We start from the raw sequence: 11990 nt of genomic DNA on the forward strand, positions 1-11990 counted from the left end.
CTGTTTTTCCTCTGGGTGGCTGTTTTTCTAGCATAGCATGCAAGACTGATTAGTCTTAATTTTTCACGTTGGGATTTAGCACACTCTAGTGGACAGTAGCTTTTCAGTTTTCACAGTTTTTAAAAAAATCATATCAAATTACTTTATTGGACAATTCAGTGATATACTTACTAGCAGTAAAGTTTGTCAGTATTTGAATCAAGTAATGACCCTAGTGAGCTGGAGTAACTTTGTCAGCCACTGGGGTGTTGTACATTTTTACATGATTTTTTTAGCAGTAGGAGGAGAGGCTTTTATCGTTATGTCAGAACTTTTCCCCAGTGGTTTTCCTCTTTTGAGTGGAATGAAATTGATGGGGGTGGCCAAAATGAAGAGGAACACTTGTACCTCTACCTCACACTCTTTAGGTCTTAGAATGTGCTTTATGTTTTCATTTTAGGACTCTTGAGAATTTCTATATACCAGTGTGTGACAATTTTGACTGTTTGTAAATATTGTTACATCCTATCTTGATGGATTGTTTCTGGAAATGGGCTCCCACCGGAAACAAAAATAATCTTTTATTTTGCTTTTGCAGAGTGATGGTGATGATTTTAATTACATCATTGCATTTTTCCTTGGAACAGCAGCCTGCCTTTACCAGGTAGGTTTTCTTCCATTTTAAAGAAACACTTACCATTATTGTTTACTTCGGGTATCAGTTCTAACAATTGTGCATTTTAAATAAATTATTAAAACTCTGAGTTCTTTGCTTCTCTTTTAATTTGAGCCTCTTTTAACTTTGTGACCTATGTCTCCATTTTGAGTAGACATACATCCCAGTGAACCTGATGTTAACCTTCTTCCTGTGCTGAGGCTTCAGTGGTGGTATGTCATCTGCCTATGGTAGTAAAGACTACTTCTAGGCTGGGTGTGGTGGCTCATGCCTGTAATCCCAGCACTTTAGGAGGCCGAGGTGGGCAGATCACTTGAGGTCAGGAGTTCAAGGCCAGCTGGCCAACACGGTGAAACCTTGTCTGTACTAAAAATACAAAAATTAGCCGGGCATGGTGATGTGTGCCTGTAGTCCCAGCTACTTGGGAGGCTGAGACAGGAGAATTGCTTGAACCCAGGAGGCAGAGGTTGCAGTGAGCCAAGATCGCGCCACTGCACTCCGGCCTGGGCAACAGAGCGAGACTACATCTCAAAAAAAAAAAAAAAAAAAAAAAAAAAAAAAAAAAAAACTACTAGATTTTCTGGTGGTTGATTATTCAGCTTCCAGGTTCTACTTATACTCTAGGCTGAGGATTTTGTATTGGAGGGAAGTTTTTGAATAGAGAACAGCACAGTAAAAACAGGATTTTAGGATTCAATTTAGCAGTAATGAATAGAATGGACTGTAAGAGCAGAGAGACTGGAAGCAAGGAAATTGGTTTGGAATTATTACTACAGGTAGAAGGTAATGAAAGCCAACATATGGTAATGGCAGTGAGGATAGAAAAAAATAGACATTGAGAAGGAAGACTCACTGGGACTTGAAGACTGTGAAACTTAAGGAGGGAAGAGATTTTGCACCTTGGTGACATGGAGACTGATAGTCACATTTCCAAGGCCAGAGGAGGCACACATTTGTAGGAAAGGAAGTTACCAGTTACCCAAATGCAAGAATGTCTTTGTTAAAACGTGTTACAGCAAGCAAGGCTTTTTGACCTAACTTTTTTGTAAGTGACACATTTTTCTAGCTTGAATTAGAAAAAATGTTAAGAGTCAGAACTGCAAATATAAGACTACCTAAAGTTCAGTGGACGTCTTTAGGGACGTATTTTGAATATATGTATTTGACTTTTATGTAAAGACATTAGACATTTTAGTTCCAGTGGCCTCATTTTTTAAAATCACTTGATTTTCTTTTTCTTTTTTTTTTTTTTTTGACGGAGTCTCGCTCTGTCGCCCAGGCTGGAGTGCAGTTGTGCGATCTCGGCTCACTGCAAGCTCCGCCTCCCAGGTTCACGGCATTCTCCTGCCTCAGCCTCCCGAGTAGCTGGGAATACAGGCTCCTGCCACCATGCCTAGCTAATTTTTTGTATTTTTAGTAGAGATGACGTTTCACCATGTTAGCCAGGATGGTCTTGATCTCCTGACCTTGTGATCCGCCCACCTCGGCCTCCCAAAGTGCTGGGATTACAGGCGTGAGCCACCGCGCCTGACCAAAAAAATTGCTTGATTTTCTTAACCATTTATATTATCTTCAGAAATTTTCTGTCAAATCTGACAGATTTAATGGTGATGAGTGACACTTCATGCAGGAAATGTGAAAACATATTTGTTAATGTCACATAGTGCTTTAATTTTATGAAATATTCTTGTATATATTTTCTATTTTAATTTCTATCCTGTCACAAAAGGGATAATATCTCATTTTTTAAAGTGAGAAAACGGAGACAGTTTCAGTACTGTCCTGAGATCACATAATCAGAAAGTGGTAGAGTCAGTACTTAACTCTGGGTGTCTGATTTTCAGTATTGTGTTCTGTCTACTATATCATGCTGTCTGTAGGCAAAATTCCTAATTTGTGTAATTTTTATAATGTAATAAAGTTATAATTTTATAACTATACACATGATCTCATTTGATTTTTATCTAAAACTGTGAGGTATTTAATATAATTTTATGAATAATCATTCTTATAAAATACAAGTTTTGGTTGCTTTGTCTTAAGTAATTGTAAATGCTTAGTAATAATGGCAGAATGTATTGAGCTCTTATTTTGTGTTAAGCCTTTTATAGTCATTGTACCATTAAATCCTCACAAAAAGGAGGATATACCATTATATCGTCCTCACTGAGGTATAGACAGTTCTTATAGCTTGTTAGTGACTTAAACCCAGATCTTTGTGACTTCAGAGCAGGTGACTACCAGGCTATAGATAGGCATACCTCTGTTACACTTCCCAGAACAGCCTCGAGTAGTTCTGAGAGTTGCTTCGTGGTAGAGTGGTGTCACTCAGGTGTTCTTTTACTTGAGAGAAGTAAACAAATTCATGCTTTAAAAAAGAAAAGCAGAAAACTAATTTCCTTCATATTGAAAGGCATGAAACTGCCTGCTTTCTAAATATGATGAGCAGGGTGATAATAATGCTGTTTTTTTCCCCCACAGTAAAACTTAAGTAATTATGTTTTACCATATAACATGCTCTGTCTCCAGTTGTCAGGATATTTTTAAATCCTCTTTAGATCAGATCTGAAAAGCCATTACCACATGGTTTGTCATCTTTTTCTTCAGGATGCAGGTGCTTATGGAAGCCCAGAGCTCAGCCTGATAGGATTAATCTTGATATGGAACATTTCAAATAGGAAAGCAAAGGATCAGTGAAGAAACTAGAGACTTCCTGTTCCCTCAATGTTTTACTTTGAAAACTTGAAACTTACAGAAAAGTTGAAAAACCAGTATACTTAGAGTCATCAATTGTTAACATCTTGCAACACCTTCTTTATCTCACTCTCTATGTATGTGCATATAGCGTGTATAAACACACCATCCCCGACTTGGAACTTTTTTTACTTTCTAATGATGCAAAAGTGATATGCACTCAGTAGAAACTATGTTTCAGGTACTCACATGACCATTCTGGTTTTCAGCACACTATTCAATAAATTACATGAGATAATGAATATATTTGAATAAAATAGGCTTTGTATTAGATGATTTTGCCCAGCTGTAGGCCAAAGTTCTGAGCATGTTTAAGGTAGGCTAGGCTAAGCTATGATGTTTGGTAAGTTAATTGTATTAAATACATTTTTAACTTAGGATATTTTCAACTTATAATGAGTATATCAGGATGTGACCCTATCGTAAGCCAAGGAGCTTCTGTAGTTGTTTTTAAAGTAAGTTTTAGACATATGTGTATGGGTAAAGTTTTTCTAATTAAACTTTTTATTTTGGGATAATTGTAGATTTACGTGGAGTTGCAAGAGAGATCTTACGTACCCTTTACTGGTTTCCCCCAATGTTACCATCTTGCAAAACTATATAAAACGGTATCACAACCAGAGTATTGATACTGATACAGTCAAGATACAGAACATTCCTGTCACCACAGGGATCCCTCATGTTGCCTTTTTATAGCCATATCCACTTCCTTAATCTAACCGCTCCTTAATCTCTGGCAATTACTAACGCATTCTCCATTTCTATAATTTTCTCATTTTAAGGACATTATGTAAATGGAATTATATAGTATATAACTGGCATAGTTCAGAATGCTATAAGAAAATACCATAGATTGGGTGGCTTAAACAACAGACATTTCTTTCTCACAGTTCTGGAATCTGGAAGTCCAGATGCTGGCACATCATGTTCTTGCTGAGGGCCCTTTTCCTGGCTTGCAGAAGGCTGCCTTCTCAGTATATCCTCACACAGAGAAAGTGCTGAGATCTCTTCCTCCTCCTACATAGTCATTGATTCCATTATGGGGGCTCCGCCCTCATGACTTTATCTAAACCTAATTACCTCCCAAAGGCCCCAGCTCCTAATACCATCACATTAGGGATTAAGGGCTTCAACATTTGAAGTAATCTTTTGTGATAGGCATTTTTTTGTTGTTTTTTTGGGACGGAGTCTTGCTCTGTCACCCAGGCTGGAGTGCAGTGGCGCGATCTTGGCTCACTGCAATCTCCACTTCCCAGTTCAAGCAATTCTCCTGCCTCAGCCTCCTGAGTAGCTGGGATTACAGGTGCGCCACCATGCCTGGCTAATTTTTGTATTTTTAGTAGAGATGGGGTTTCACCATGTTGGTCAGGCAACTTCTGACCTCGTGATCCGCCCACCTCAGCCTCCCAAAGTGCTGGGATTACAGGCATAAGCCAGATAGGCATTTTTTTAGTCAGCATAATTCTCTGGAGATTCAGCCAAGTTGTTGCATAATCAATTATTTGTTGCTTTTTATTGCTGAGTAGTATTCTATGATATGTATTCAATGTACTATTAAATGATTTGTTCCTTTTTTTTTTTTAAAGACAAGGTATTGCTCTGTCACCCAGGCTGGAGTGCAGTGATGCCATCACAGCCTCACCGCAGCTTTGAACTGGGCTCAAACCTCCTGAGTAGCTAGGACTATAGATGTGTGCTGCCACACCCAGCTAATTTTCTGATTTATTTTTGTAGAGACGGGGTCTTGCTATGTTTGTTGCCCAGGCTGGTCTTGGACTCCTGGCCTTAAGCAATCCTCCCACCTCAGCCCCCACAAAGCTCTAGGGTTACAGGTGTGAGCCACAACATCCAGCTTCATTTACTTATTGAAGGATATATGAGTTGTTTTAAAATGTTGGCTGTTATAAAGCTGCTATAAACAATTATGTGCAGGTTTTTGTGCAGACATAAGTCTTCAGTTCTTTGGGATAAATGCCTAGGAGTACAATTGCCAGATCATGTGGTAGTTTTATTAAGAAACTGAAAAACTTTTCCAGAGTAGCTGTACCATTTTACATTCCCTCCAGCAATGTGTGAATGATCTAGTTTCTCTGCATCCTCACCAGCATTTGATATTGTCACTATTTTTTATTTTAGCCACTCTTTTAAGTGTGTGGTGATAGCTCATTGTGGTTTTAACTTGCGTTGTTTAACATCATTAGCTAATGATGCTAAACATTGTTTCATGTATTTGTCATGTGTATATTCAGTGAAATGTCTACATCTTTTGATTTTTTTTTTTTTTTTTAATTTGTGACGAGTCTTGCTCTGTCACCCAGGCTGAAGTGCAGTGTCATGATCTCGGCTCACTGCAACCTCCACCTCCCGGGTTTAAGTGATTCTTCCGCCTTAGCCACCCGAGTAGCTAGGATTACAGGTACCCACCATCATGCCTAGCTAATTTTGTTTGTTTGTTTGTTTTTGTATTTTTTTGTAGAGATGGGGTTTCACCATGTTGACCAGGCTGGTCATGAACTCCTGATCTCAGGTGATCCACCCACCTCAGCCTCCCAAAGCTCTGGGATTATAAGCGTGAGCCACCGAGCCCGGCCTTGCTTATTTTCTAATTGGATTCTTTGTTTTTTCACTGTTTTTCTTAAAGAGTTTTTTATACAATTGACCCTTTATATTTGTGGGTTCTGCATCCATGGATTAAACCAACCATGGATTGAAAATATTTGGAAACATATTGCATCCATACTGAACATGTACAGACTTTTATTTCTTTTCATTCCGTAAAGAATATAGTATAACAGCATTAACATTGTGTTAGGTATTATAAGTAATCTAGAGATTAAAGTATACAAGAGGATGTGCATAAGTTAAATGCAAATATTGTGCCATTTTATATCAGAGACTTGAACATCCACAAATTTTGATATCTGAGGGAGGTCCTGAAACCAATCCCCTATGGATCCTGAGGGACAACTGTATATTCTAGATACTAATCCTTTGTCAGAAAGGAAGTGTGCAGGTATCCTTTCCCAGTCTATGTTTTTTTTTAAAAAAAAATGGTTTCAGATCAGTCTGTATCTTGTCTTTTCATCCTCTTAACAGGTTTTTTCCCAGTCAGTTTTTTTTTTTAATGGTTTCAGATCAGTCTGTATCTTATCTTTTCATCCTCTTAACAGGGTTCTTCACAGAACAAAAGTTTTTAATTTTGATAAAGTTCAGTTTATCAATTTTTCCTTTTATGGGTCATGCTTGTGGTGGTCAAGTCTAAGAGCTCTTTGCCTAGCCTAAGTTTCTCTACTATGTTTTTTCTAGACCTTTTATTATAGTTTTATATTTTACGTTTGTGATCCATTTTGAGTTAATTTTTGTATGAGATGTGAGACTTAGATAGCTTCAACCAAGGTTCCTTTGTCTATATTGCTCCAGCACCATCCATGGCAAAGGCGATTTTTTTTCCTCCATTAAATTGCTTTTGCACCTTTGTAAAAAATCAGCTGGACATACTTGTGTGAGATTATTTCTGGGTTCTGTATTTTGTTGCATTGATTTCTTTTTGTCTATCCTTCCACCACTACCACATAGTCTCGATTACTGTAGCCGTATAATAAGTCATAAATTTTCTTAGTAGTTTTATAGAACTATTCAAATTATGTTTCATGTTGAGTGAATTTATGGTAGTTTGTGTTTTTTGAGGAAATGGTCCATGTTATCTAAGTTACCAAATTTATGTGTTTAGAGTTGGTTGTAGTATTCTCTTACTGGCCTTTTGATGTCTGCAGGGTCTGTAGTGGTATCTCCTGTTTCATTCCTGATAATGGTAATTTGCATGTTCTCTCTTTTTCTTTGTCAGTCTTACTTGTTAATTTTATTGATCTTTTCAAGAACCAGATCTTTGTTTTATTGTTTTTTCCTACTGTTTTTATGGCTTCAATTTTATTGATTTCTGCTTTTATCTTTACTATTTTCTTCCATATGCCTGCTTTGCATTTATTTTGTTCTTTTTCTAGGTTCTTGAAGTAGGAGCTTACATGATTGGTTGAGAATTTTCTTTTTTATAATGTATGCACTAACTCCTAAAGATTTCCGTCTTAGCACTTCTTTAGCTGTATTCCATAAATTTTGATATGTTTTATTTTCATTTTCTCTTATTTCAATTTTTAAAATTTCCTTAAGACTTCCTCTTTGACCTATGGATTATTTAGAATTGCATCGTTTCACTTCTAAATGTTTGAAGATTTTCTTGTTATCTTTCCCTTACTGATTTCCAGTTTGATTCCATTGTGATTAGAGAACACACATTGTGTGATTACACTTCTTTTAAATTTGTTGAGGTTTCTTTTATGGCCCCAAAATATGGTCTGTCTTGTTATATGTTCCATAGCCACTTGAACAGAATGTGTATTCTGCTGTTATTGGGTGTGTTCTGTAAATGTTTAGATCATGTTGCTTGGTATTGTCAAGTTCTGTATTCTTGCTGATTTTCTGTCTAGTGTTATACCAGTTGGCTAGAGAAGAGTATTGGATTATAGATTTTTCCATTTTGTACTTCAGTTCTATTGCTTCATATATTTTGTAGCTATGTTGTTTGGTTCATACACATTTAGGATTGCTGTGTCTTCTTGTTGGGTGAGCCCATTTATCATTATATATGTTCCTCTCTGTCCCTGGTTATTTTCTTTGCTTTGAAATATTTTGATATTTATCTGGTATCAATATAGCCACTTTTGCTTTCTTTTGATTACTGTTTATGTGATAAATCCTTTTCCATCCTTTACTTTGAACTTTCCTATGTTATTTAAAGTGAGTTTCTGACAGACAGCATGGGGTTGATTCATGTTTTTTAATATCCTGCCAATCTCTGTCTTTTCATTGCTGTACGTAAGTCATTTATAGTTAATGTAATTATGGATATGTTAGGACTTTTTTTTTTCTTTTTTCTTTTTTTTCTTTATCTTCCTGTGGGTTACTTTAACATTTTAAAAGATTTCCATTTCAGTTTATCTGTAGTATTTTTTAGTGTATCTATTTGTATAGCTTTTTAAATGATTGCTGTAGGCATCACGTAATACATACTTAACTCTTCATGGTCTTCTCGTGTCAATATTTTACTAGTTCAAGACACCTTATCTCCCTAGATGTGTTTTTGCCCTCCCCTATTTATAATTGGCTCAGATATTTCCTCCACATATATTTAGAACCACATCAGCCAGTGTTATAATGATTTTTTTTTAACCATCAAACATAATTTAGAAAACTCAAGAGGAAAAGGAAAGCCTATTGTATTTACCCATATTTTTGCATACCATGTCCTTTTTTCTTTCCCAATGTTTCAAGATTCCTTCTTTTTAATTGTTTTCTTTCTATTTAGAGAGCTTCCTCTAACCATTCTTTTATGGTAGATCTGCTAGCAGCAAATTATCTTAATCTTTCATCTGATAAATGTTTTTATTTTCCTTTTATTCCTAAAGGATATTTTTGTTGAATACAGAATTCTGGATTTGGCAGTATTTTTTTCTTTCAGCACTTGAGAAATGTTCTAGTTTTTTTCTGGCCTCTGTGGTTTCTGATGAGAATCCCACTGTCTTGTTACCGATGAGAAATGAATTATCTTGTTACTGTCAAGTGAAAGTGGGTGTCCAGAGTCCCACGTGTTCTCCACTGATATCACAATAAGAGGGTAGAGGAGGGATTCATTGCCATCTAGTGGGAATGAAAGTCCTGGCTTCTACTTGCCTTTTCTGAAGCCATGCTGAAGGGTTAAAACATCTGCTTATAATGTTCTAGGCTCTCAACATTTGATGGTGTGGGTATGGGTGGGTCACAGGGGTTTTTTGTGTGATGTTTGGCTAGAGGATAATAGTTACTGTTTAAAAGTTTTCTGTCTTGCTAAGGTGCCTCTTTCCTGGTCTTTTACCAGAGAGAGCAAGATGTTATTGAGGGTCTTTTTTGTTGTTTGTTTTGATATGCATGCCTTGGCATTTCTAGTTGCCAGCTTCTTCAGCTCCAAGTCTGGGATATATGAAGCAAAAAAGAAAACTCAGAGAACCTACCACTGTGGCATTCTTGGATCTCAAGATTCTTTATTTGTCTGCTTTTCCTCCACAGTTCAGAGTCTTCTTATGCTTGTTTTACATATAATGTCCAGTGTTTTTATTTGTACTTAGTGGGAGAAATAGGGAAAAGTGTGTCTACTCCATCTTCCCAGAAACAGAAGTCCCTGAGCCGTTGTTTTTAAAGTAAGTTACAGACATCATGATATTTTTTACCTTAAAATACTTCATGATGTATCTTCTAAGAATACAGACATCTGTCTACATAGCCAGGACTTCATATCACATCTAAGAATTTAACATTGATACAATATTATCTAATATATGATTCCTATTCAGATTATTTCTGTTGTCTCCAAAATGTTTTCTGTGGCTATATTTCTCCTGATCCAGGATTATGCATTTCATTTGATTGTCGTGTACCTTTTGATCTATGATACAGTCTCCCAGCCTTTTTGTTGTTGTTCTATTTTAGTTTGGTTTTATCTTTCTTAACATTGACTTTTTTAAGAGTTCAGGCAAGTACCACAATCTGGATTAGTCTGTTACTCGTGATTATATTAAGGTTAAATATTCTGGCAACAGTGCTGTATAGTATAATATGCTGAATATCTCTCATTGCTTCAGTCAGGAAATGTGATAAGTTTGATCATTTGGTTAAGATGGTGTCTACCAGATCCCCATTGCAAAGATATCTTTTTCTTCTTTGTAATTAATAAGTAATATGTGGGGTAGAGACCTATTATTTTAAAAGCCTTGGAAAACCTTGAATTAAATATATGTGTGTGTGTGTGTGTGTGTGTGTGTGTGTGTGTGTATATATTACTGGAAATGCTAGCTCATTTTTACAGTAGCATTCCAAGCAATAAATATAGATAAAAAATGGAAATATAAAATCACCATTAAGCGAACACCACAGTAATCATTGTTGCAGGCAAGAATCATTAATGGATACTAAAATTAATGAGCAAAAGTATGATGAGATAAGATATTCACATAATCTCAACTCCCTGCCCCCAAGACAATAATTGCAAAGGGAATAGATACCACCTTATTAAGTGATCTAATTTAATATGTAATAACATGTATTGCGTATCACCTCTGATATTCTTGCCAAAATTGTATAACCTCATTTCAATCTTGACAAAACATCAGACACACCCAAGTTGAGGGACATTCCTACAACATAACTGATTAATACTCTTCAAGACTGTCAAGGACATGAATTTTTTTTTTTTTTTTTTTTTTTTTGAGATGGAGTCTTGCTCTGTTGCCCAGGCTGGAGTGCAGTGGTGTGATCTCGGCTCACTGCAACCTCCGCCTCCCAGGTTCATGCCATTCTCCTGCCTCAGCTTCCCGAGTAGCTGGGACTACAGGCGCCCGCCACCACACCCGACTAATTTTTTGTATTTTTAGTAGAGACAGGGTTTCACTGTGTTAGCCAGGATGGTCTCAATCTCCTGACCTCGTGATCCGCCTGCCTGGGCCTCCCAAAGTGCTGGGATTACAGGTGTGAGCCACCATGCCTGGCCAAAAATTTTTTTAAAAAAAGATGGAGGAGCTGTTACAGATTGGAATATACATGACAATTAATGCAATACAGAATCCCAGATTAGATTCTGGACCAGAAAAAGGACCCTAGTGGGACAATGGGCAAAATCTGAATAAAGTCTGTAGATTAGCTAAGAGTATTGAATCAATGTTCATTTCCTGGTTTGATGATTATACTATGATTACATAAGAGGATAACGGGGAACAGGGTGAAGAGTATACAGTAAACAAAGCGTATACAATAAACTGTTTTTGCATCTTTAACTCTAAAATTGTTTAGAAAGAAAAAGCTATTTTTTTCTATTTTTTCAGTCTTATATGATGAAAATCACTGATAAATACTTCCAATTCATTTTGCTTGGATAGCAGTCTTCTTTTTAAGTAAACAGTCCAAATTTGCATAAGAACTAAACATATTTAACAGAACATTTCCACATTCTTTCTGCATTATAACAGACACTGGTGTGTCCTTCCCATTCTGAAGCCTGGACACAGTTTCTCAGAGAGACCTGGGCCTCTCTCTTAGACTTTGTGGTTCCTATACTTACCAGGTTGTGAATTTTAGACATCTTCTAGAAAACAGTTTATTCACTCAACACATTGAGCACTTACTATGTCCCAGGCACTGTTCTGGGCACTGGAGATAAATGAGTAAATAACAGTAAAAAATCTCACCCCTCATGAAATAGATTCTGTTGAAAGCCTATGGATGACAAACAAAATAAGCACATTTCTCAAGTATGTTTATAGTATGTTGTGGAGAAAAATAAAGCAGTAAAGGGTGAATGCCAGGATGGGCAGGAGCGGTGAGAGGGGGAGTACTTTCTTGACCGTTTCATCTAAAATAGCACCCACTATCATTCTTACTCCCTATCCCTTTTTCCTGCTTTCTCTTTTTCAAGACATAACTGTTTGATATTATATATTTAAAATACATTTATAATTCTTCCCCATTAAAATTTAATATTTATATGAACAAGGGCTTT

At 36.5% G+C, this 11990-nt stretch overlaps 1 protein-coding gene across 6 annotated transcripts in view; it reads left to right on the forward strand.

Moving 5' to 3' along the window:
• Positions 1 to 11990, forward strand: part of SEC22A (SEC22 homolog A, vesicle trafficking protein) — a 72194-nt gene that overhangs the window by 57004 nt on the left and 3200 nt on the right. For all 6 annotated transcript variants that reach the window (XM_011512675.4, XM_011512676.4, NM_012430.5 and 3 more), the window contains one exon: positions 578 to 643. In XM_011512675.4, coding sequence (XP_011510977.1) covers positions 578 to 643 — 66 coding nt within the window. The remainder of the gene's footprint in view (positions 1 to 577; positions 644 to 11990) is intronic.

The sequence above is a fragment of the Homo sapiens genome, chromosome 3, assembly GCF_000001405.40.
Source record: "Homo sapiens chromosome 3, GRCh38.p14 Primary Assembly".
NCBI classification, from domain to species: domain Eukaryota; kingdom Metazoa; phylum Chordata; class Mammalia; order Primates; family Hominidae; genus Homo; species Homo sapiens.